This window comes from Homo sapiens, chromosome 10, assembly GCF_000001405.40.
Source record: "Homo sapiens chromosome 10, GRCh38.p14 Primary Assembly".
Classification (NCBI taxonomy): Eukaryota; Metazoa; Chordata; class Mammalia; order Primates; family Hominidae; genus Homo; species Homo sapiens.
The window spans coordinates 106,716,800-106,744,586 of record NC_000010.11 but is presented as its reverse complement, the minus strand read 5'-3'; the positions used below and the strand labels follow the sequence as shown (position 1 = coordinate 106,744,586).

General features: G+C 41.1%; 1 protein-coding gene across 16 annotated transcripts in view; it reads left to right on the top strand.

Moving 5' to 3' along the window:
- Positions 1–27,787, top strand: part of SORCS1 (sortilin related VPS10 domain containing receptor 1) — a 607,476-nt gene that overhangs the window by 436,552 nt on the left and 143,137 nt on the right. For all 16 annotated transcript variants that reach the window (XM_017015617.1, XM_047424547.1, XM_017015615.3 and 13 more), the window contains exon 6: positions 14,473–14,537. In XM_017015617.1, the coding sequence (XP_016871106.1) occupies positions 14,473–14,537 (65 nt within the window). The remainder of the gene's footprint in view (positions 1–14,472; positions 14,538–27,787) is intronic.

Sequence of the window (27,787 nt, the reverse complement as noted above, 5' to 3'; positions counted from 1 at the left end):
ATATTCTAAACATTGTAAGCACTCTTATACCTTATGGACTTAAACTTTGTGGGTAAGGGAAGACTACAATATCTCCTCTTATAACAGTTGTTCCTATTGAAAAACTAGAGAGATTAGAGACACATACAGATATTTACCTACAAAGATCATCAGTGCAGCATCATGTCTAAAAGTAACATGATGGCCGGGCACGGTGGCTCAAGCCTGAAATACCAGGACTTTGAGAGGCCGAGGTGGGCGGATCACGAGGTCAGGAGATTGAGACCATCCTGGCTAACACGGTGAAACCCCGTCTCTACTAAAACTACAAAAAAATTAGCTGGGCCTGGTGGCGGGCGCCTGTAGTCCCAGCTACTTGGGAGACTGAGGCAGGAGAATGGCGTGAACCCAGGAGGTGGAGCTTGCAGTGAGCTGAGATCGCGCCACTGCACTCCAGCCTGGGTGACAGAGCGAGACTCTATGTCAAGTAAATAAATAAATAAATAAATAAAAGTAAAACGATAGATATTACCAATACTCTGTGATCAGAAAACTAGTTAAGTCAACTATAGAATATTGTACGGCTGGCAAAACAGTGTGTTCTAATATTACATCGTGTGTTACGCTGTGTTCGTGATATGATGCAAAAGTCTTAAAAAGAAAAAGGAGTGCCTACACGAACACTGAAAAAGTACTGAAGGATTAACAGCAAAATATTAAAGGTGGTTAATTCTAGATGGAGGGATTGTAAGAATGTTTTAGTTTCCTTTTTTTTACTTCTGTATACTTAGTATTATATTTTCAATGAATACATACTCCTTTTGCAGTCAGATTTTTCACAGCGGTGTTATTTTTAAAGCATGCTATTTAAATAAATTATACAGGCCGGGTGCGGTGGCTCACACCTATAATCCCAGCACTTTAGGAGGCCAAGGTGGGTGGATCACTTGAGGTCAGGAGTTAGAGACCAGCCTGACCAACATGGTGAAACCCCGTCTCCACTAAACATACAAAAATTAGCCAGGCACGGTGGTATGCACCTGTAGTTCCAGCTACTCAGGAGGCTGAGGCAGGAGAATCACTTGAACCTGGGAGGCGGAGGTTGCAGTGAGCTGAGATCGCACCATTGCTCTGCACTCCAGCCTGGGTGGCAGAATGAGACTCCTTCTCAATAAAATAAAATATACAAATAATGATAATAATAAAGCAGTCAAACATATTTCCAGATGGATGGTGGTGTGGTGGGACTGGTGGCAGCCAGGCAGCAGGAGGGCATGGTGACCCCTGTGGAATAGTCATAGCGAAGAAAGTCTCCTCTCTCTGGCTTCTCTTTCCTCCCTTTCTATCCTCATTCTGTCTCCAATGCCTTCATTTGCCCTTCTCATTCTCCTATCCTCTCTTTCCCATGTTCTCTTTTACTCCCTCTCTTTCCCTTTCCCTCCTCCACTTCTCTCTTTTCTTTGTCACATTGAGATATTTTCAAAACCAACTTTAGGAATTCACATCCATAGTGGACTACTGATTTAAAAACAGACCCCAAAATGAGATAAATTAAGAGGTGTGTTTTTCTTTTTTTGTCATCACACTAGTTTCCTTGGCCAAGGAGTTTACATGAGTTCAAAAGCAAACTGGCACAGCCTTTAAATTATTTTCACAAAATAGCTTCCCTGTCTTTGCCCAGTTTCAAATCCCTTCACACCTTATACTCAGAACTCCAGAAATTTTTCATCAACAAACAAAGTACAGGTAGTACAGCCCTAATTTGAAAATCCCCAACCATAAATGCTCCAAAATCTGAAACTTTTTGAGTGACAACATGATGTCACAAGTGGGAAATTTCATACCATACTTCGTGCCATGGGTTCTGGTCGAAATGCAGTCACAACTTGGTTTTATGCACAGAACTAATAAACGTATTGTATGAAATTGGCCAGGCGTGGTGACTCACACCTGTAATCCCAGCACTTTGGGAGGCCGAGGCAGGTGGATCACTTGAGGTCAAGAGTTTGAGACCAACCTGGCCAACATAGTGAAACCTCATTTCCACTAAAAATACAAAAATTAGCCGGGTGTGGTGGCATGCGCCTATAGTCCCAGCCACTTGGGAGGCTGAGGCATGAGAATCACTTGAACCCAGAAGACAGAGGCTGCAGTGAGCTGAGATTGTGCCACTGTACTCCAGCCTGGGCAACAGAGCTAGACTCCATCTCAAAAAAAAAATTGTGTAAAATTATCTTCTGGCTATATGTACAAGGTGTTATAAAACATAAATGGATTTTGTGTTTAGACTTGCGTTCCATCCCTAAGATATCTCAGTATGTATATGTAGACATTCTAAAATCTGAAAAATAAAATCCAAAATCTGAAACCTTCTGGTCCCAAGTACTTCAGATAAGGGATACTCAACCTCTGCTAAGGAGAGCAGTTGCCATTTCGCACCCCAGGAATTGCCTCTCCAATGAAGATCAATCTAATTTCCTCCTATATCTAACCCAATTCTATTCTTACTCCCTTCCAAGCTTTACTGACTGGATCTCTTTTCCTTCTCAGTTGAAGTATTTGAGGGCAATAGCCTCTTAGTGTATTTTTGCAGAAGTACCAATACCCAACCATAAAGCAAGAGAAGACTTTGTGTCATAATAATCTGACGAAGTATGGAAAAGCGACTACAAGGATAGCTAAACCAGCCTTACCTACAGGCCAGGCACTGAGCTGTCCGTGTAAAAACTGACACTGTGTTTTCTGAGAAGGGAGAGAATGTATTAGTCATTTTGCAAGTGACTGCAAAAAAGCCACCTTCAAACTTAGAAACCCTGCTATTTAAGGTCTAAGCTGAAGAAATTAATATCTAGTCTGTTTCCAATCTCTGGGACATGGGACCCCTCATATATGTCTAGGCTCATGTATGCCAATACACTTAACGCTTGCAGGATGTTGAAATGTCAGGATTTTCCATTCTCTCTCTCTCTCACTCTCTCTCTCTCTATATATAATTATTATTATTTTTTGAGACAAAGAGTCTCACTCTGTCACCCAGGCCGGATTGCAGTGACGCAATCTTGGCTCACTGCAAACTCTGCTTCCTGGGTTCAGGTGATTCTCCTGCCTCACCCTCCCAGGTAGCTGGGATTACAGGTGCATGCCACCACGCCAGCTAATTTTTGTATTTTTAGTAGAAACGGGGTTTCACCATGTTGGCTAGGCTGGTCTTCACCTCCTGGCTTCAAACAATCCACCTGCCTTAGCCTCTCAAACTGCTAGAATTACAGGTGTGAGTCATCACGTCTGGCTTCTCCTTATCTTTTTAGTGTGTAAGACACACATTATCTTCCTAGTTAACACTGTCTTGCCTCAGACACTAAGGGGTAATTTTTTTTTCTATGAAAAGAATTATTGACATGAGTTAAGGACCTGGGTTAGTAATTCCAACCTTGATACACTCTGAGTGGTATGACTTTGGACATGGTATTTGCTCTCTGGAAGCCTGGGCTTTCTTAATTGTAACAGGAGGTATTTGAACTAGTTAATCTCTAACAGACTTTCTGTCCCTAAAGGATTCCTTGATTCATACTCTTGACAGTAGTAGTAGCTACACGTATTTCGTCTTTTACCTTTCACAACAATCGTATTATTCGGTACTATTATCTCTACTCTTTTTTACAGGTGGTGTATAGAGCCCTAGAGAAATTAGAATGCCTAGGTTCCAGTCTGATTGTATCTTTTATTAGCTCTATGCCCTTAGGCAAGTAAATTGCTTTCAGAGATAACACTGTCTTTCTCTTATCTTTTCATTATTTTTCCTGAATTTGTGTCATGTATGAATTTTCTAGGCACACAACATGTATTTTCACCCAAGTTGTTGACAATTGATGAGCAGGACACCAACAAGAGCACAGCCTTGTGGCCCTATATGACATCAATCTCACACTTAATAGATGGAAACCAGCCATTGATTGACACCGGGGAACAATGGGTTTTTTTTTCTGATGGAGCTAAATGCCTTGTATTTTATATATTTTTCCTCACACAGCTTTCAAGAAATGTTATGAGCATCACCTGACATGTTTATTTTTAATTTCTCTGTGTTCCATATTGAATTGTAAGCTTCACAAGGTACAGGGATTTTTCTTTTTTATTCAATTTTAAACCCCTAATGTCTAGAACTACACCTAGCATTTGTAGTTACTCAGTAAACATATTCAAAAATTTATTTATTTATTCATTAAAAAATTAATTCAGAATCAACCATCTGCCATGCCTGGTGTTAAATATTAAGGATATCCCAGGAATCCTCAGTTTAGAGCAACAGTCTCCATGGTGACTTACCTGCACCCACACCCTAGGGGGGTAATTGGTGATTCACTGAGGTGTGGGAAGAAGATACTTTCTGATTATTCTTTGCTCCGATTTTAGTTTCTATTTTGTGTATATTTTCTAAAGTTAGTATGTAAGTACTGTACTGCATTTCCACAACTTATATCTAATAAACCATCATGTATTGGGGGTGCCTAATTTCCCCCCCTTGCTTGATGTGTTCAAACAAAACATGTGGAGATAGCTGTTCTGGAATTCTCTTATAGAATATCATTTCCATGGGGTCAGGTTATCTCCAGCAGCAAAATGCTCAGGTTTAAATTTTCTTTTTTTTTTTTTTTTTGAGACAGAGTCTCACTCTGTCGCCCAGGCTGGAGCTCAATGGCGTGATCTCAGCTCATTGCAAGCTCTGCCTCCGGGTTGACGCCATTGTCCTGCCTCAGCCTCCCAAGTAGCTGGGACTACAGGTGCCCACCACCACATCCAGCTAATTTTTTGTGTTTTTTAGTAGAGACGGGGTTTCACCACATTAGCCAGGATTATCTTGATCTCCTGACCTCGTGATCTGCCCGACTCGGCCTCCCAAAGTGCTGGGATTACGGCGCTCGCCACCACACCCAGCTATATATATATATTTTTTTTGTATTTTTAGTAGAGACGGGGTTTCATCGTGTTAGCCAGATGGTCTCGATCTTCTGACCTCGTGATCCACCTGCCTCGGCCTCCCAAAGTGCTGGGATTACAGGCATGAGCCACCACGCCCGGCCTGGTTTAAATTTTCAATTCCTTTTTTTTTTTTTTCTTTTTGAGACAGTCTCTCTCTCTCTGTCACCCAGACTGGAGTGCAGTGGTGCAATCTTGGCTCACTGCGGCCTCTGCCTCCTGGGTTCAAGTGATTCTCCTGCCTCAGCCTCTTGAGTAGCTGGGATTGCAGGTATGTGCCACCACGCCAGGATAATTTTTGTATTTTTAGTGAGATGAGGTTTCACCATGTTGGCCAGGCTGGTCTCAAACTCCTGACCTAAAGTGATCCACCTACCTTGAACTCCCAAAGTGCTAGGATTACAGGCATGAGCCACCATGCCCAGCCAAGACAATGACAGTTTTCCCCAGGGGAAGAGTGGGCCAAACTCTGGACTTTCTTCTCTGAATTTCCATCTTCTCTCAGTTTTTGGCCTCATGATTCTTTTATTTCTTTGCTTGGTCTCTTATTACTTTTAATATTTACCCAACCTTTCTGATCATCCATAGTGAGTCTGTAGTTCAAATACCTAGTCCACTAACCTTGCCTTTTAAAACAATCCCTGGCTGGCCACAGCGGCTCACGCCTGTCATCTCAGAACTTTGGGAGGCCAAAGTGGACAGATTGCTTGAGTCCAGGAGTTCAAGACCAGCCGGGGCAGTATAGTGAGACCCTGGGATTACAGACGTGAGCCACTGTGCCTGGCCTTTTTAAAAATTTTTAATAGAGATGGGGTCTGGCTTTGTTGCCCAGGCTGGTCTCAAACTCCTGGAGTCAAGCGATCCTCCCATCTCAGCCTCCCAAAATACTGGGATTACAGGTGTGAGCCACTGCGCTGAGCAATTCCTTTAAACTTATATTTGTTCTACCCTCTAGTCTGAAGTTCTTTGTCCTTAACAGAAATGGATAAAGAGAGGAGAAGTGGAGAGGTTCTCTCTTCTCCCTGTCTTCTGTCACTGTGGCCCCTCTGGCCCCACGCAGGATCTCCAGCCTCCTTCCTCTCACACTGATTTTAACATCAACACAAGCACACCCCTCCAGGAAGTCCTTAGCACTGCTTCTCTGACCACAACTCTTCTAGGCTTTCACCTTCCTGGCCCTCTCACTAAGATGGTGTCTGACTTATAAGTATTCAAGATTTGAGAAAATCCCAGGTCTCCTCCCTACAGAAATGTCACTCATCCTTTTTTCTCTCCCTTTGTGATTTGCTCACATTTACTACCCACTTAGATTTTATTTTCCAGATGGAGAATATTTTCTTTTTATTAATAGTACAGCTGTATTAATTATTAGACAATCGCATATATACATCTTCCTTATAAAAGTTCTTAAATTACTGATAAAGATAAGGATCCCTTTGACTATTACCCACAACCCCCAAACTCTACCAAAAGTGACTACAATTATGAATTTTTAATGTGTATCTCCAGTTTTTTCTTCCCCATTTATGTATATTTTTTCTTTGCGTCCATCAATAGACAACGACTGAAAAAATCGGATATTTTCATTTAATAGGTTGCAATAAAATAGTTAGAGATTTATCTCATTAATTTTTTGTTCTGGTATGGAACCATCTCCAAGATATATTATTGAGTACATTTAACAAGTTGCTAAAAATATGCAGGGTATGATACCACTAAAGTTTAAAAAGATAAAAAGAAACCTTATTAAAAATATTTTAAGCTTTTCCTTTACCTTAATCTCATGCTCTTTTTGATCAGTTGAAGTGCATTTCTCTGTATCTCATTGGCACTGTGATTTTTGTTTGGGGATCAGGAGCACTGATTTGAGCATGGTCCCTGGTATCTCTCTAGACCCCCCACATACTTTTATCCTTTTTTGGTGGGGGTGGGTAGGGGAGTGCAGTGGCATGATTTCGGCTCACTGCAACCCCTGCCTCCTGAGTTCAAGCAATTCGCCTGCCTCAGCCTCCTGAGTAGCTGGGATTACAGATGTGTGCCACCACGCCTGGCTAATTTTTGTATTTTTAGTAGAGATGGGGTTTCATTATGTTGGCCAGGCTCGTCTCGAACTTCCAACCTCAAGTGATCCACCCACCTCGGCCTCCCAAAGTGTGTGAGCCACCATGCCTGCACCACCCCCCTCTTTAAAAAAAATATTTATTTAAGAAACAACAAAGACAAAGAGGGGGCATAAAAGTGGGGAAATAAGAAGGAAACAGAAAAATGCAAACACTGATGGAAAAAGCAAAGTCATTAAATTAGAAAAGGGAAAGTGGGGAAAGGAAGGGGAGAGCTGCTGCAGAAAGCTTCTTCTTGGCTGGTTTAGGTCTGGTCATTGTGATGTCTTTAGAGACAGGTTGCTTGTTTCTAAACATTGTTGTTTAAACTTTTAGTCCTATTTACCAAGCCCTTTGCTCAATAAACATCTTCATCTCCTCACTGCTCTCCTGAGCTTTATGTATTTCTTCATTCCAGGTCAGACTTGCGTGCCTCACTTTGCTCCCTGACACCTACACATACACACACACTCACATGCACACACACACACACACTTTGCTGCAGACATCATAGAAATAAACACTTGGGCTTCTGGCTTGGGGAGTAAGGATGACAAAATGCAGCACGTGGAGGGCCTCAGGTTGCTGGCAATGCTGATTCTCAGTAGGCCATTGTGCATTGAGGAGATTAAGCATTGTTTTTATCTGTCTGTTTATCTATTGATCTATTTATTTGTTATTTTTAGTAGGCACCTTTGGTTCTGGAGAACCAATGTGACTGACAGTGTCGGGGGCCAGAGGAATAAAAGCAGAAAGCAGACATGTTTCTTAGGCTAAAGGGAGAGGTTAAATGGCACCTTCGGCTGCTTTGTAGATTATCTGGCCCATTTGCCCGTGTTGGACGCAGACGAGACCTCAGGCTAAGATGATCTATTCAAAAACAAAAACTGTGGCCTTAACCAGGGTTATCTTTTTTTTTTTTTTTTTTTAACCAGGGTTATCTTGATGATGTTTTTCTGAGGGCCTAATTATAGTGGCAGGTGAAGGGGAAACCCTTGACTGTAGGAGAGGAAACCAAGGTATGTCACTGCCAATACCTGCCAGGCACTTTGGTAGCAGACAGGACCTGTTGCCCTCATGGACTTTGTTTATGAAGAGGGGCTGTGGGAACATGAAGAGGAAGGCAGGGGTCTCCAACCTTCCAGCCTCTGTTCCTCTGCAGGTCCCTCCTCGTTTCTTCCCATATGCCATTAACTGCAATTCTGAATCTGAATAAATAGGTGCTATCCCATCATGATATTTATTTTGTAATACTTGCTCTGCGGTTATCTACATCAGGACATTTTGTGGCTCTGCAGCATTTATTGGGCACTATATTAAGCTGGTATAAACTCAGACAAAATGCCAGGCGAATGATAAACTAGTGACATTTCTGAGTTTCTCTGTAGAAAATGTCTACAAAGGCTGCATTTGGCTGATTGTATTTCAGAAGGCTGATGTTGCGCTGCTATGTCACTGGTATACTATTTCAGAGTGTGATTTGTTTTTATTCATATTCTTGTCTTTAGTGATCTTTAGGTTTTATTTCAAAATAGCTCTTAAATGTGAAAACCTACTTAAGATACTGGAAGTATAGATGTAGGAGGCTGCAATGGGCTTTGTCTTGTTTTCATCAACAAAGCTCATCTAGATGACCTGTGCAACTTCGCCTCATACTCCCTCAATAGCGAGGACCACACATAGACCAGGACTGAAGTCTTTTCACCTGCTTATAAATGTATACGCTTACCTTTCTTTAGCACCATCTCATGGCTTTTAGGATCAAATACAAAACCTGAGCATTACACAAAAGGTGCTTTTTGATTGGGCCCCTGGTGTCTTTTCAGTTCTCTTTTGCTAATCTACTTTGGAAACACTGGATCCATCCTATTGACTTACAATAGATACATATATGGGTCATCCTTTCTTTGAGCTAGGGCCCCAGTACCTGCTATTTGTCTGTAAATGGAATGCTCTTCACTCCTTCTGTCCATTGATCCTATTGCTGCATATACTTGAAGATTTGATTCATTTACTCCAAAGGGTTCCTGGACCTTGCTTTTCCTCCAGGTTTCCATCTGCAGGTGAAAGGTCATTCCTCCTGTGTCTTCAAATAGCACCTTGAATGTTAGAACCCTTTCTTCATTGGGTTACTGCCTCTTCTGTAGTTCTAAAGCTCTTAAGTGCAGTAATTATGTAGCCCTCATTCTTATTTCATAGTAGGGGTTTGGAATGTTTCACTGACTAAATAAATGAATAAATAATTGAATTGTATTTATTCATATAATTGATCTCTGAGCCATTGACTCATTTTTTGTCTATTGACTTATGACAATCAATAATTTTGATAGATCATTTCTGTTAGCAAGGCATCCATGATATGTCAAGAATTTTTTTTTTTTTTTTGAGATGGAGTCTCGCTCTTGTCGCCCAGCCTGGAGTGCACTGGCTTGATCTCGGCTCACTGCAACCTCCACCTCCCGGGTTCAAGCGATTTTCCTGCCTCAGCCTCCTGAGTAGCTGGGATTACAGCTGCCCGCCACCATGCCCGGCTAATTTTTGTACTTTTAGTAGAGACGGGGTTTTGCCATGTTGGCCAGTCTGGTCTCAAACTCCTGACCTCAGGTGATCCTCGGATTATAGGTGTGAGCCACCACGCCTGGTCAAGAGTTTTTTAATACCAGCATACATTTTAATTTCTTAGGTATTAATATTCCCCCACCCATTTCTTGAAATAAAAAGGGGGAAAAAGAGAAGAAATAAATTAACTGTATTTCCTGAGCCCTAGCTCTGTGCCAGGAGTCTTCTAGGTACTTAAAGATGTATATTATAGGAAAAATATAGAAAAAATTATGTTAACTTATTTTAAAGACTAAAAAAGTGACGGCACAGAGATGTTAACTAACTTAACAAAAGTTACATATACAGATAAATTAATACATGCTGATATGGCTGGTTTGTGTACTTCTCTTTTCTCAAAAGCCATTCAGTTAATGCTTTTTGCTAATCTATCTGTGGCATGCAGGTGCCTGGCACAGAGGTACAGAAAGGTTTGAGTCTGTCTGTCAATAAAGGAGATTGACAAATGAGTCACCAATTATAACATGGCCTAATTTTTTCTGTGCAAAAGTATGTTCATCATTCTGAAAGTCTCAGAAAGGATAACCAACTTGGCTTAAGTGGCACCCCCACTGAGAAGCCTGTTTTCAACTTCAGTCATCTGCAGCTGAGCCACAGCAATAAGAGTTATGAAGGCAGAAGAAGGATGAGAGGAGATCCCAGGCAGACACCAGGATGTACACAGAAAGACTCCCTTTCCCTTCCATAAAATTCACTTCAAGAAGGGAGTTCATTTTCCTAGTTCAACATAAAGGCAGTGTAAAGGTACACAAGATACATCTACCTATTGCCTTTTTTTAAATAATTAAAATATCCTAGACAAAATTTTTATCATATATTTACAGAGAGGTTCTGAGTCCCAGAAAGAATAACATGCTGTATTGGATGTTAGTAAATATTGACTGGTGCAAAAATGTTGTATATGTATTTACTGAGAAAACTTGCTTCTCTGTACTTAGGCAAGCAGAGAGAGTTCAGTGATAAAAGACAGAACACTTGCCTTTGGGAGTCCGGTGTATTAAGAGAGTCATTTATGCAGACATGTAGCAAATCATTATGAACTATGACAGTGATATGTGTCGGATAATCTAGAGGCATAAAACAAAGGTGCCCAATCCCTTATACTTAATACCAGAAGTCAGATTTACCAACGTCTTTGGATAGAGATGCTTGAATATCAGTCTCAAGATCTCATTCTGCAAGTAAGACCATGAAGAGTTCATTTTGTATTAAATTCTATGTTGATGCTGTTTTTCTTTGATGATTATAATGATGATGACAGTGATGTTTAATGATGAGGATGAGGATGAAACACATAGTTGGTCTTAAAACACACAGAATGCTACCTAACTCTGTAGCTCCAGCTAAAATTTAGCAGCATATATAGGCTAGAGTAATGATATCATTTGGGTCAACTGCAATGATATGCTTTTCTAAGGTATCTGGTCAATGACAGGACCGTTAAAATCAGCACTTATACAGACATTCAGCATTGATTGGCCTCAGCAATTAAGAACTCACTAGGCCATAAAGTAAAAGCAGCAATAATTCTTTATCATCTGTAACTGCTAGAGATACTCTTGGACCACAGGTCTAGGGGTGAGGCATCATCAAATAAAAATCATTGGAAACACTGTGGTTTGACTTTCATATGTAAAGCTTTGTTTTGTAGTTGTAATTGTTTTACTATAGATGAGAAAACATTTAGGCAGAATAAGGAGGTTTGTTAGCCACAGTAGATTTGGGGAGAACAGAGAACTCTGTTTTGCTCTTGCCTCTTTTTTTTCTTTTTCTTTTCTTTTCTTTTCTTTTCTTTTCTTTTTTTTGAAATGGAGTATCACTTTGTCGCCCATGCTAGAGTACAGCAGTGTGATCTTGGCTCACTGCAACCTCCACCTCCCAGGTTCAAGGGATTTTCCTGACTCAGCCTCCCGAAACAGGTACACACCACCACACCCAGCTAATTTCTGTAGTTTTAGTAGATACGGGGTTTCACCATGTTGGCCAGGATGGTCTCAATCTCTTGACCTCATTATCCGCCTGCCTTAGCCTCCCACAGTGCTGGGATTACAGGCGTGAGCCACTGCACCTGGCCTTGCCTGTTTTTTGTTTGTTGATAAGGCAGTGGGAGATGTCACTGGAAACAACAGCTTTGCCATTAAAGATAATACAAGATTTTTAAAAACTACTGCTATTATTTATTTGAGACTATACGCACATGGAAAGCTACACTGAATCCAGCGTAATTATTTTGCCTCCCGTTGACACTAGCCGTAAGCCAAGTAGATAGGCTTGCATGCTAGTTTTAACCTTGTGTTTCTGGGGTACTGCGTTTCTCCTGGGAATAAGTGGTGGTAGTCATTTCAAGGATGAAACTTAAGGCAAGGTGGACAGTTGAACAACATGTAACTGCCCATTTTGAAATAAAACAGTTAACTGCTGAGCTTTCTGGATTGAGGCTTGTCAAGCAGCTCATTTTCTTTTTTAATGCTCATGACTTGCAGTCTTGTCAGAAAAGGTCACCTGCGGATCCAGTTAATGCTTCAGTGTGAGGAGAGTCACCACCCAAAGCCTAGTAGTCGCTGCAGTACTTAACTGAAATTCTGATGAAAGGGTCACTTTCTGCCTGGATTCAAGCAGATTCCAGTGATTAAAATGTGCAAATGCATGTCCCATGTCTATATGAGGGAAATTATGAGACCCTTATTAGGAAATATCTGCTTCCTAGGGGAAGAACAAAGTAGGATTTAATGTTTCAAGCATAGGCTCTGAATTGCAGGCCATGTATCAATCAGAGAAAACTTATTGACAGCGATAACAGGGCTTTAAGGAGACTTCTTTTCTCCAGATGAAGAGTGATTAAGCCAGCTAGCCACTCAGCTTCTTTGAGTTGGAAAAATGAGTTTAAGTAAGTAGAGTTCTGGGAATAACCCTAGGACAATGATTAATGTACTTACTTCAGAAAACCCGCAGACCTTTATAGCCCCTTCGCTTTCTTTCTCTTTACCTCCTTCCTCTTGTCCTCCCTGCCTTTCCTCCTAACTTCTTTCCTTTTCTTTAGTCTTTCCTTCATTCCTTCCTTCTTTCATTTCACATTTGACTGTCTGTTATATACCAGGAACTATATCTATGAATATAAAGTGTGTAAAGAGAAGACCTTCCAGTAGCTTTATTGGGTATCTCTGTGTGTGTATCTTTTGTATTTGTGTGTTGTGTGTGTGTCTGTTGGGGGAAGAGGATGCCTTCATATTGGAAAAACACAAAAATAATTCTTTATAACAAACTCTGATAAGGACCTTACAGGATTTATAACAAACACTTGCTGATCGGAGGAAAAGCCTTTCCCTGTCGTAAATGAGACATATTTAACAGAGGAAGTGACTTTTCACTTGTGTCTTAAACTATGATTCAGGGGTTAGGTGAAGCTGGAGAAGAGCATCTCAACCTGAAGGCAGAAGCTTAGAGACTCACAGAGGGGCGAGGAAATGAGTGTGGCACTTTCAGACAATGGCAACATCTTTCAGTGTGGCAGGAGATGAGGCAGCAAAAGTGAGATGGACCCAGTCTGTGCAGGGTCGTGGATACCGCACTAGGCTCTGGAGAGATAAGTACTTTTTTTTTTTTTTTTTTTTTTTTTTTTTGAGACGGAGTCTCACTCCGTCACCCAGGCTGGAGTGCAGTGGTGCGATCTCGGCTCACTGCAAGCTCTACCTCCCGGGTTCATGCCTCTGGAGCAGCTGGGGCTACAGGCACCCCACCACCACGCCCGGCTAATTTTTTGTATTTTTAGTAGAGATGGGGTTTCACCGTGTTAGCCAGGATGGTCTCAATCTCCTGACCTTGTGATCCGCCCACCTCAGCCTCCCAAAGTGCTGGGATTACAGGCGTGAGCCACCACGCCCGGCCCAGGGATAAGTAGTTTTAACATCTGCATTTTCTAGCCTTGATTGAGTGGCTGGGCTGAGTGGCTGGGGGCAGGCAGAGGGACCAGTTTGGAGGCATTTCGCTGTTTTCTGTGTAGAAATGGAATAAATTAAAGTTCTGCAAAGCCTGATTTTTTCAAAAAGTGCAGATGTTCCCAAGTTTAATTAATCTCATTGTATAAAAATCCTAGAGATAAAGCGTGATTGCCCATATTATTTATGTTCCAGAATAATAATTATTTTCTATTTAATATAGCTTACTGCAGGATTACACAAAATAATATGTGTCTCCAAGGCATTTTAAATAGGCTTTTATTTTGCTTACACATATGGTTTCAGGCACGTATCAGAAAGTGAGGTGCATCTATTTCTCTTCACACGGGTTCGACAATACAGAGAATCATCACTCTGCTGTAACTGCTGCTGTATTGGTTGAGTCACAGGGTTTGTTCATAGGGCAGTCGTAGGTGGTTTGGCAAATTTCAGTGAAAAAATTAATTAGATCAGTGTGCTATGGGAATCGCTGATCAAGTCACCCAGCTGAAGCAGCATGCCTGCCTAATAAGTTTTGAAAGTTTAATACACTGTCACTGGGGTTGTTGCAAGAGTACACACCCAACATGCGTAGGACCTGTATGCAAGTCCCAGCTAATAACATGCAACATCCTTGCTAGAATGCAGCCTGCCTTTCATCAAATGTAGTTTTCATTATCATTTTTATTTTAAGTGGAAATTTTACTGTCAGGCTGTATAAATACATAGAGTAGATATATTCTAAGGATTGTGGGTTTAGATGCCTGTGGATATTAATAGTCTGGGGGCTCTGCCGAGTTCCACTAAGGCACATGTGAAGTCATTAATATGGATGTTTCTTTTCATGTTTCTCCATTTTTTAGGTCTGTGATGGGGTCAAATAAAGAACCAGACCTTGTGCATCTTGAGGCCAGAACTGTGGATGGTCGTAAGTAAATCAACTTTGCCGCAATACTCATAGTAATATTAGTTCTATGACTCTGTCATGAACTGAGTCTGTGTAATAATCTCATGGTGTATGCAGAGTAATAGTGGATGTGTGGTTTCTGAGGATTTGGGGTTGCAGGGGTGACCTGCTTCTTTTGACTCTAAGCTAGTAAAGTGCAGGTATCTTCTGTTCGGAAGAGCTAAGGATAGGTAGGCAGGCACAGTGGCACAGTGGCAATAATCGTGTGATTTAGGCATGAAGACATTTCCTGTCTTCAGTAATACAAAATAGTCTTAATAATTTTTCATAAATATATATTTTCACATATATTTGTAAATATAAATATATAGGTTATCCAGAAATATGCATATTTTGATAGTGGTGATACCAGCACAGCCCTCTCATCCAATCAAAGTGTCTTTCCAGGTAAAGAGAATACTTCCAAACTCTTGATTCCTAAAGTGTTTCATTGTTGTTGCTGCTGCTACTCTTTTGTGTTGAATTGTTTCTTCAGTCTCCTTATTTTGTCAGATACCATCCAGGCCATGCCTCACTGTCTTGTTTGGAGATTCACAAAACACTTGGAAAGAATTAAAAAAAAAAAAAGAGAGAGAGAGAATTTTTCTGTGTGTCCCCATGAGAGGCAGCAGGAGGAGAGTCAGTTGAGTGAATTGCTCACCTGTCAGTAGTTCTTATCAACTCCGGGTGGTTATGCTGCAGTGAAGGACAGGACTACACTTTGTAGCCTCATGACAATGTTGTAGGTTGTTTTTCTCATTTCACATATGAAGAAGCAAAGGCATAGAAAGCTTAAGTAATAATATAGCTAAGCTAATATGGTAAATAAGTAGAGGACAGTGATGTCTATCTCACAGAGCCTATTCAGGTGAGAATTCAAGAAACCCATGCATATACAATACTTCACACAGTGCCTGACCTACTAACACCAGCAATGAATGTTTCCTTCCCCTTCTCTGGTACAGAGGATCCTCAGAAGGGCTAAGCATTTGCAGGGGTACCGCTAGGCCTAGGATAGAGCACTCCAGGTGAGGGGGTAAAAGAAAATGAGAAAAGGGGGAAACTGTATATAGAAGAGGGTGAGGGGAGAAAAGACAGGGAGAAAGGAAGAGGTCTCAGATGTAGAGGAGAGGAAGAGAATGGACTATCCACAATTACCACAGAGCAATGAGGCTGTTGTAGGCTACCCAGCGCTGGCCCAGAGAGTGACCATCTCATTTCCAAGACCTTCCCAGTTTCTAAAATATCCCTCACAATTCAAAAGCACCCTAATCACTGCCGTTTGTGCCTACCAGTCCTTGGCTCTTCTGAACACAAAGGCAGAAGGTCCTGCACTTTACCAGCTTACAGCCAAACAAAGCAGGTCAACCCTATAACCCAAACTCCCCAGAAACCACACATTTTTCATTACTATGCATGTACCATGAGATTTCTCATCTCTAAAGGTTTGTTTCCCTTTTGGGGGAGTGAATATATTTTTTGACAGAGTCAGTTGGGGCACAGGTTAGGGATCAAGGCTGACCATCATCCTCTGTAACCCAGGCAAAGCTGCCACATGTAACATGCCCAGCACTGTGCCTGACACAGAATGAGCTCAACAGGTCAGAGCAGCTTTCCCACCTCCTCAGGGGGCTCGCTCTGGTGGTGACGTCTCCATTTCCCTGGAGCAGATGATGTTATCTTGGATTCCAAGGTCCAGTTCTTGCTACATAACAGATCAATATTTTCTTAATGCAAAAGTAAACACATCATTGTTTAAAAGTCTTGCTTACTGGAGATAGAGACCATCCTGGCCAACATGGTGAGACCCCATCTCTACTAAAAATACAAAAATTAGCTGAGTGTGGTGGTGCGTGCCTGTTGTCCCAGCGACTTGGGAGGTGGAGGCAGGATAATCACTTGAACCCAGGAGGCGGAGGTTGCAGTGAGCTGAGATCGCACCACTGCTCTCCAGCCTGGCGACAGAGCCAGACTCCGTCTCAAAAAAAAAAAGTCTTGCTTACTTCCCATTGCTTTGATGATAAAGAGCTAAATTCTCATCTTGACCTATAGCTCCAGCATAACTTGTGTCTGCCCATTCCCTCAGCCTAATCTTAGTCTGCCCTCTCCTCACTCGTTGCCTGCAGGCCTTTAGGCGGGTTTTCAATTCTTGGAACATACAGGGGTATGTGTCTTGCCATAAAGCCTTGGTACATGCTGTTTTCTCTATCTGGAATACCCTTCTTTCTTGCCCATACCCTGACCAATCGAGCATAATTGATTACTGTGGATGGTTGAGACCTCAGGTTAATCGCCTATTTCTTAGAAAAGCCTCTCGTAAACTCTCAGTCTAAATGAGTTTCTTATTTTGATTGCTTTTATACAACTATTTTTTTTCTTTATCATGTTCTTCTCTGTTTGAAATTATACTTTCTTTTTACGTGTTTATTCGATCACAACCGTTTCTCGCCACCAGTCTGTAAGTTTTATGAGAGCAGGGACCATGTATATCATATTCAGTATTGTGTCTCCAGAGCCAGGAATGGTAGCACACATCTGTAGTCCCAGCTAGTCAGAAGGCTGAGGCAGGGGGATCATTTGAGCCCAGGAGTTCAAGACTGTAGTGCACTGTGAACACAACTGTGAATAGCAACTTTACTCCAGCCTGGGCAATATAGTGAGATCCCATGTCAAAACAAAAACATTATGTCTCCAGCACATGCCATGGCATCTACATGTAGAGAGATCTCACTAAGCATATGTTGAATGATGGCATACCCGGCTGACCAGTTGTCAGGGCTACCAGTGGCTATCTCACCTCACTTACCAGGTTGTCTGAAAATGCTAGAGCCTCACATCTTAAACCTTAGCATGTATGCTACCCACCTAGGGACCTTGTTAAGATCTGCATTGTAATTCAGTAGGGGCCTGACAGTCTGCATTTCTTTTTTCTTTTTTTTTTTTTTTGAGACAGAGTCTCGCTCTGTCACGCAGGCTGGAGTGCAGTGGCACTATCTCGGCTCACTGCAAGCTCCGCCTCCCAGGTTCAGGCCATTCTCCTGCCTCAGCCTCCTGAGTAGCTGGGACTACAGGCACCCGCTACCACGCCCGGCTAATTTTTTGTATTTTTAGTAGAGACGGGGTTTCACCGTGTTAGCCAGGATGGTCTCGATCTCCTCACCTCGTGATCCGCCCGTCTCGGCCTCCCAAAGTGCTGGGATTATAGGCGTGAGCCACCGCACCCGGCCGAGAGTCTGCATTTCTAACAAGCTCCTAGATGATATCCATGCTGCGGGTCTGTGAAACATGCTTTGAGTAGCAAAGTTCCACAACAGAAAATTAGTGAAAGAGCTTGAGGGTCTGTTTCCCATGATTGCACCCCTAGTTTAGGAAGCTCTGGATGGAATTGGTAGCATCCCGGGTTGCTTTCATTTTCAAGCTTTTGGGCATATGCTGCTGTTTTCTGGCTTGTGGCATCCAATGCACATGACGCTTTATCCTAAAAACAATGAGGCCATCACTCTCTGTGATCTGCACATTTTCTTACACCCAGCATTATTCCTGTGCTCCCTGAAGGCATGGCGGTTGATAATGCCAAACTGTCATCTCAGGCTTAGCTTTCACAAAGCATGAAATGTATCAGTTCTAATTTTATTTATTTTACTTTTTTTTTTTTTTTTTTTTTTTTTTTTTGCGAAGGCAGCATCTTCAGAAACTATCCAAGGGTGAAAATTCAATAAAAGGATTTAATTTGAAAAGTTAGCCCTGTCGAAACAAAACAGGAAAAAAAAAATCTACCAATTGTTTTAAAGGGTCCAAGCATAACACCTGACCTGTCACAGTGTAAAAAAAAAAAAAAAAAAAAAAGAGAGGGAAAGAGATTGTCTCAATAACCAAGGCTCCAGTTAAAACAACAACAACAACAACAAAATAAACAGAGAGGAGGAGGTTGGAAGTAAATAGCACAGAGAGGTCAGGGTAGCAAGGTGTCAGCAAATGTAGTGGGCAAAGTTTGACAGTGTATTTATCAAAATCAGGTTACAGTCTCATCAGCTGCACTACGAATTTCATATCTCTGTGTTATCTCTTTCTCATTTCCTATTTTTTTTTTTTTTTTTTCCTGAGACAGAGTCTCACTCTGTCACCCAGTCTGGAGTGCACTGGCACCATCTCGGCTCACTGCAACCTCTGCCCCCTGGGTTCAAGCCATCCTCCTGCCTCAGCCTCCCAAGGAGCTGGGACTCCAGGCGTGCACCACCACACCAGGCTAATTTTTGTATTTTTGGTAGAGATGGGGTTTTGCCGTGTTGGCTAGGCTGCTCTCGAACTCCTGACCTCAAGTGATCCGCCTGCCTCTGCCTCTCAAAGTACTGGGATTACAAGCGTGAGCCACCATGGCTGGCCTCTTTCTCATTTCCTAATTGAGATCCTCTGTTTTTTTCTCCATCCATTCATTACTGTTATTATTTATTTATTTATTTATTTATTTATTTTTGTGTATGTGATGGAGTTTTGCTCTTGTTGCCTAGGCTGGAGTGTAATGGCGCGATCTCAGCTCACTGCAACCTCCGCCTCCTGGGTTCAAGTGATTCTCCTGCCTCAGCCTCCTGAGTAGCTGGGATTATAGGTGCCCGCCACCACACCCAGCTGGTTTTTTGCATTTTTAGCAGAGATGGGGTTTCACTATGTTGGCCGAGCTGGTATGGAACTCCTGATCTCAGGTGATCCACCTGCCTCGGCCTTTCAAAGTGCTGTGATTACAGACATGAGCCACTGCGCCCGACCCCATTCATTATTGTTTATGTATATGGAACCCATGGTTTTTATTCTAGGTTGTACATCCTGTAGAGTATATGCCAAATATACTTTACAATAATATAATGTTTTTATTTTGTTTTGTTTTGTTTTGTTTTGAGATGAAGTCTCTCTCTGTTGCCCAGCCCGGAGTGCAGTGGTGCACTCTCAGCTCACTGCAACCTCTGCCTCCTGGATTCAAGGGATTCTCCTGCCTCAGCCTCCCCAGTAGCTAGGATTACAGGCACCTACCACCACACCTGGCTGATTTTTGTATTTTTAGTAGAGATGAGGTTTTGCCATGTTGGTCAGACTGATCTCAAACTCCTGACCTCAAGTGATCCACCCACGCTGGCCTCCTAAAGGGCTGAGATTACAGGCATGAGCCACCACACCTGGCCATCATGTTTTTGACTTTGAACCAGAAATTATTTTCTGATTTTAGTGTGTTCACATATTTTGTAGTCAAGATACTGAGACATTTGACACAGGAAAAATCCCCCACTTGCCAGTTTGGCTCTTCCCCATGGAGTGTGTTGTGAATTCTTATCTGGGTTTGTTATTCAAAATTTAGTTTTGGTCTATTTCAGATGTCCCTAGATTACATGTTATACTTAATTTCTGTTTCCATTGAAGTTCCCATATTTCAGGGGAGGTGAGCTCTGGAAAGCTTTAGTTTTTTACATGAGAAAAAAGAATTATATCTTTATTTTTATTTTTTTATTTTTATTTTATTTTATTTTGTTTTTTTTTCTTGAGATGGAGTCTCACTCTGTCTCCTAGGCTGGAGTGCAATGGTGCAATCTCAGTTTACTGCAACCTCCACCTCCTGGGTTCAAGTGATTCGCCTCAGCCTCCTGAGTAGCTGGGATTACAGGTGCACACCACCACGCCCAGCTAATTTTGGTATTTTTAGTAGAGATGGGGTTTCACCATGTTGGTCAGACTGGTCTTGAACCCCTGACCTTGAGATCCGCCCGCCTCGGCCTCCCAAAGTGCTGGGATTACAGGCGTGAGCCACCATGCCCGGCCTTATATCTTTATTTTTATAAACCTTATAACTTACAAGATTACTTTCAATTGTAAGGGTTGGAAATTAACTCGAGTAGTATTAGCAATATAAGCGACTTTGTTGCAATAGAAATCACAGAAATTTTTATATCATAATACAGTCATTACATCTGAAAATATTATTTATGCTCATTCTTTCCTCAAAATTGTAGTAGTTATCAGACCTGCCAGTAGATCTTGATATATAATATATTAATTTAAAAAGTACATACAAGGGTATTAAATATTTGTTTTTTAATCTTTTAATAACTTTATTTAAATTTAATTGAATTAGTTTTTTTTGGTCTATTCTGGGTAATTTATTTTATGCATTAAAAACATTCTGAAAAAATGGGTCCACAGGCTTTCTCAGATTGCTGATGGGGTCCATGGCACAGATTCTGAACCTTTGCTCCCAAAGCAACAAGTGTCTGCATAGGAATGTGTGGTTATTTATATAAACTAGTACTTTATCTTAGATCCTTTAGAAAGCTTTTGTTCTGTGAGAGTCTATGGTTGGCACTGATGTTTCTTACCAACTATCCTCTAATATGTAGATATCTTGTAGTTTACATCTGTGACAAGGATGTTATTCTTTATTGTATTACTTTCTGCCTTGGGAGGTGAGCTGAAAAGAGCAGGCTCAACTACAATCAATCACGGGAGGTATTACTGGAAATTTTTGAACATATTTATTGGATGTGGCATTTATTATTGGCCCCTGAGTTCAAAGAAGACAAATTGACAGGTCCTCATCCATGAAGCAGATCTTTTATTGTTTAAATATTCTGTGTGTGTGTGTGTGTGTGTGTGCATCGTAGGAGCCCAGTACATTAAAATACTAAAAAGGAAACCTACATTCTATTGATTTACCTAACATAGGTGCATTTGTGTATGTGTGTGTGTAATGCATATAGTTAAAGAGAAAACGTTGACCAAACTGTTGGATTGAAAGCTGTGTGAAAAGTTGTATCTTATTTAATCTCCGTTCTATGTCCAAAAGATAACTTAGAGCCCAAAACATTCTTTTTTATTTTATTTTACGTTTTTAGTAGAGATAAGGTCTCACCATGTTGCCCAGGCTGGTCTTAAACTCCTGGGCTCAAGCGATCCTCCTGCCTTGACCAAGTGCTGGGATAGGCATGAGCCACCACACCCAGATGAAACATTTAATATTTGTTGAATAAATATATTAATGTGTCACTGTTTAGGTATATCTACTGAAAGAAGGATCTTTAACCACTGGGTCTGTGGAGTCCTGGAGCACTAACAGATGAATGCAAGAGACTTACTACCTCCCTGAAACTGGGTGCCACATTTTATGCATATTTGATTTTGGAGGAAAATAACATAACTTTTATCAGAATTTTTCACATGGCAATTACACATGGATATATAGTTGTATATTATGGTCATCTGTAAGAGAACCTGCAGTACCACCTTTGGCCATTATTGCTTCTCCCTTTTACTTCTGAAATAAAAGGCCCAACCCGCAACCTGAATGTTTCTGTACTGGTGGTGATCTGTGCCAGCAGGAACAGGGGACAGGGGACAATTACTGGTCCCAGTGTTTATTTTCATGAATAAGTAACCTCATAACAAGTTTCCCAAGGACTAATCTCATTCACCGGGGAACAACAAACCTTGGCCCTTTAACCAACTGTGAAAATGACTGCCTGAGAACTCTGTGAAATGAACCTCAAACTAGCATTTTAACAAGCAGAAATAAAAGAAACTCACAACTTTATATAACTATGCATCCCACTAATTCTGGTCTTGGGTAAGAACTGGAAATCTCATTTTCTACTTCCTATCCACCAGCTTTCCAACCTAGTTTCCGTATTGAACAGTAAGTATGTCAAAATCTGGATAAGGTAAGCGCTGCTGAAATGCTTTGGGGAGGTAATAGAGATCTCAGTTCTCAAAGTCTTCAATATCTCAGCTACAGAGTGTGTTTACTATGAATATAGATTACTTTTATACCAACAAAAATAGCAATGATAACAATAAAAAGGTATATATATATATAAACTCTTATCTTTTTATTGTTATATATATATGTGTGTGTGTGTGTGTGTGTGTGTGTGTATTTATATATTTGCTATATTTCTCCAGAAATTGTTTAGGCTTATACAGATGAGTATGTATATGTATAGACACGTATACTTACACGCATGTTCTTGTTGAAAAATTGTTGTGGCAAATTTAGTGTTTGTGCATACAAATATAAGTTAAAAATCTTTTCATATCAGCACATATAAATTTAGCAACTTCATGGTTAATTGATACATAGAACTCCATTATAAAGTCAACTATATTTAGTAATTACTAAATTATAGAGACCTTTGTAGATATACAGACCTCTGGTTATTTCAAACAATGCGAATATATACACATACACACATATTATTTATTTGGTTAGTCCGCATTCAAGCTCGCGTAAGCAGCAAACACTACGGAAAGAGAATTTATGAAGGAAAATTCCTGGGTCAGAGATTATATACATTTCAAATTTTTGTAAACATTGTCAGATTGCCTTCTGAAATATTTGCAACAATAAATAGTCTATCAGTATCATAATGCCTGTGTTTGCAAGCCCTCAGCAATCTTGGACATTATCAAAGACTTTTCAAATATAACCCATCTGAGAGCAAATTTTAAAAAGGCATATCCTTATTGTTTTAATCTGTATTTATTTAATTAGGAGTGAGGTTGAGAATTTTTATTTGTTTTTCGTCACTACCTTTATTTCTTCTTCAGTGAACTTTAAAAAATCAAATCTTTTGAATAGAAAAGATGAAACCTTTGGCATTGATACACACATTTAAAAATATCAGATTGCTACCCCCACTTTGGCCAAAGTTCCAACACTAGCACAACAGTTGCCATTATTAGACCCCGCATTTCATAGTCTTCCTTTATCTTTTTTTTAGTCAATTTATTAATAACTTCCAAGGTAGACCTTGGAAGAGGTTAGACGTTTCCATTTCTGGTCAGCTTCAGATTCTAACAGATCCTTACCACTTCCTGACATGCTGAGAAAATGCACATTCTCACCTCTCTTCTATCCCCAAATAAAGCATCAAGGTTTAGCTAGTATAGCCAGAATCTAGTACTATGCTTTTTTTTTTTCTAGCAGTGTTATTCTGACCCCATATTTCGTATTGCAAAAGGCTCTTGATTTCAATGACTAGTGATATCCACTTGACCTCTCTGATTTAGTAGCCTGAAGACAGCCCTAACAACCACCCAGAAAAGCATGAAATAAGATAACACGGGCCTCCTAGCACAGCATTGAAAAGCCTGATAGTGACAGTACAACAACAGGCTCAGCTGGGCAGCTTTCAAATTGGGTTCTTTGTAGCCATTATATGCCACTTCCTCTGCTTCCCAGGTGCCCACCCACCTGCATGAAGCTCTGTGCCCTTATCTTCCATGCTGAGGCTGAGAGAACAAAGGTGCACAGAAAACTTTTCACTCACAGGCCTTAACTTTAGGACAAAGATCTAGGCTTTGGGTCCTTGGTATCCCTCAGAATACAATAGCAGCACTCCATATAACATGCAGGTGTGGTAATCCCCAAGTGAAAAATTTCTAATGTTTCTGGCTCCGGCTTAAAAAAAAAGTAGCATCGTACTTAAAAAAAAAGTAGCATCGGCATTTACTCACATATTTTCTTCCTTTGTCCTCTAAATTCTCAAGTGACAGTGATGCTAGGATCATGCATTATATTCCTATTATTTATCTGGTGTGAGCACACTAGATACTTTTCAGCTGCCTTACTTATAACAATCCTTGGAGGTAGACACTATTCTTATTTTCCTCATTTTAATGATGGGGAAGTGGGGCTTACAAAGATTAAGTGTTTTTTCCATTGTTTCAGAGTTAGGATTTAAAGCCAGGTCTGTTTCACTCTGGACCTATTATTCATTCATTCAAAAAATATTGTTGGACATCTACGCCACATCAGATGCTCTTCTAGGCATGAATGAGGGATGATTAGGAATTGATGCAAAGGCTCTGCTCTCATAAAGTTTACCTTCTAGTTAGGGGAGATGTTATAAAAAATGCATGAAGTATTTGTATGAGAAGTGGAGCTACAAATGTGTGAGAAAAACAGAGTAGGGAGAATAGAGAGTGATCAGAGAAAGAGGGCCATCAAGGAAGAAATCTCGGATAAGGTGGCATTTGGTATTTAAGCCAAGTCTGTATGGAAATATGGGAGAGACTTGTGTGTCTGCCTGGTGGAAGAGCATTCCAGACAAATGGAAGAGTACATGCAAAGGATATGGATATGAGGATGCTTAGCATGGCTGAGGCATAACAGAAGGCCAGGTGGCTGGAATAGAGAGAGGGGCGGGCAAACGTGTCATCTGTCTTTATTCCATTATCTGAGACAAGGACTGTGCCATACTGTTCTTTGTTGAGCATCTCTTATGTTTCAGGTATGATAGCTGGTATGGAGGGTGATAAAAATAATCAAGAAGTTATTCATTGAGGCCGGGCGCAGTGGCTCATGCCTGTAACGCCAGCACTTTGGAAGGCCGAGGCAGGTGGATCACAACATCAAGAGATCGAGACCATCCTGGCCAACATGGTGAAACCCCGTCTCTACTAAAAATACAAAAAGTAGCTGGGCACTGTGTTACTTGTCTATAGTCCCAGCTACTTGGGAGGCTGAGGCAGGAGAATCGCTTGAACCTGGGAGACGGAGGTTGCAGTGAGCCAAGATGGTGCCACTGCATTCCAGCCTGGCGACAGAGCGAGACTCCATCAAAAAAAAAAAAAAAGAAAGAAAGAAACTGTTCATTGAATATATCCACATGTCTTAGAGGCAGTGTCTCTCTGTTCTGAAATTAATCTTATAGCGTGTAGACACATCTAAGTAAATGTGCACACCTTCTCCCCTCACTCCCCCTTCCAAAAATAAAAATAAAACACCTGGAGAAGAAACTGGAAACTGTATGCTTTCTCCTTCATGAGCTAAATGGTTTCATTTCTTCCTCCCCACTTTCCACTTTTCATTCTTGCTTGCTTTCTTCTTTTCTTCCTACTTTTTATCCTTCTCTCTCTGTCTCTGTCGCTCTTTAACTCCTTCCCCTACTCCCTACTGTCTTTGTAAACTTAATTTGGACATGAGAGGTGAAGCTGGGTGGGCTTCTGGATTGGGTGGGGACTTGGAGAACTTTTGTGTCTAGCTAAAGGTTTGTAAACGCACTAATCAGTGCTTTGTGTCTAGCTAAAGGTTTGTAAACGCACCAATCAGCACTCTGTAAAAACGCACCCATCAGCGGTCTGTGTCTAGCTAAAGGTTTGTAAACGCACCAATCAGCACTCTGTAAAAACGCACCCATCAGCGGTCTGTGTCTAGCTAAAGGTTTGTAAATCCACCAATCAGCACTCTGTAAAAACACACCAGTCAGCACTCTGTGTCTAGCCAAAGGTTTGTAAGTGCACCAATCAGCACTCTGTAAAAACGGACCAATCAGCACTCTGTAAAATGGACCAATCAGCAGGACGTGGGCAGGGCCAAATAAGGGAATAAAAGCTGGCCACCCCAGCCAGCAGTGGCAACCCACTCGGGTTCCCTTCCATGCTGTGGCAGCTTTGTTCTTTTGCTCTTTGCAATAAATCTTGCTGCTGCTCACTCTTTGGGTCTGCATTACCTTTATGAGCTGTAACAGCGCGAAGGTTTGCGGCTTCACTCCTGAAGTCAGAAAGACCACGAACCCACCAGAAGGAAGAAACTCTGGACACATCTGAACATCTGAAGGAATAAACTCCGGGCACACCATCTTTAAGAACTGTAACACTCACCGTGAGGGTCTGCAGCTTCATTCATGAAGTCAGCAAGACCAAGAACCCACCAGAAGGAACCAATTGCGGACACAGAAAGTTATGTGATGTGCTTCTCAGTTCTCCATGATTGAGTGTGACTTTGTATATGATTTTCTGTCTTTACCCAACTAAACTAGGTTCTAGTGTGGGTTTCCAGTAGGACTTTCTCGCAAAACACACAGCCAGTGTTCCCCAAACACATCTCACATTCTCTCTTGCCTCTCTGCTCCTGCCCAGTGCTCCTTCTTTCTGGAATAATGAGTTATCCTTGTCATCATTCCAGGCAGCCTTCTAGGCTTTCCCTCAGCTTTTCCATCATGTCCCCATCCCTGACGAAAGTAATTCACTCTATAACATAGTCTGAATAGTAAAATAGTCTCTAGCCTAAAGAGGACTAAATAGGCCATGAAAGAATAACAAGTCCACAGCTCTGTGTGATACAAAGTGAAATAAATTCAGAGTCACAGGAAAAGTTTCTAGCACAGAGTAAAACATCTGTGCAGAGGTATGAGGATTAAATATTTCACCGGCAAGCCCATAGCACTTCCATTCATCCTAGAATGCGCTCACCATGCTGCATTGTAATTGGACAGTGAACTTTCTGTATTTATATTATTAGATTGGTGCAAAGGTAATTGCGGTTTTTGGCAATTACTGCAGTTACTTTTTGCACCAACCTAATAGTGTGCTTTTGTTTTCTCTCTCATGTTCCCAGTTTTTAGTTTCATGCTTGGCTAAATTTTATGATCCCAGAATTTTCCCTGTAGTAGTCATGGTCTCCTGAATGCCTGAAGGCCAACAATAAAATACAATATTTAGTCAATTACACTGGTCCCAAATCAAGAAATTTCACAGAAGAAAGCAATGCTAAATCACACTCATCATGCCAAGCTAGAACATTTGATGTAAGTCTATAATTTTCACAGAAGTATCTTGTCCTCTGTGTAGACTTTCTGGAACCAAGACTAGAATCTCACTTTTGACATTCTCAATTTCTAGCTGGTACATGTGACAGAGGGCACTAGAATCCTGATAGGAATTAAGTGTATATGAACAGCAGCGTGTTGACACGTGTGTGCGTGCGTGATGAGTGAGAACATTTAATACAGAAGTTTCAAAATAAGTAATAGAGCAGTAGAACAAAAGGAAAAGTTATATGCGCTTGTATGGGCTTTAAAATCTGTTCTGCTTTTAAACAGATTGCTTAAATTGCTGATTTAAATTGTTTCCAAGTGGAAACAATGAGGAATAGGTGAGTTTCAAAGTGCTTATGCTTGCCTGCATCGTTTCTAGCTTTGTTTATAATTAAACGTCTACAATATTAGGGAAAATTAAAGTATTTGGTGCTAAATAAACACTTGTTGAATGATAGAATGGATGGATAGAGTCCCAGAGACCTGTAATATATTTTTTTGCTGTGTTGGTCAGGCTGGTCGCAAACTCCTGACCTCAAGTGATCCACCCGCCTCGGCATCCCAAAGTTTGGGGATTACAAGTGTGAATCACCGAGCCCGGCCTGGATTTTAAGCAAAATTTAAGAGAGAAAAAAACATGTGATCCACTTAGCACAG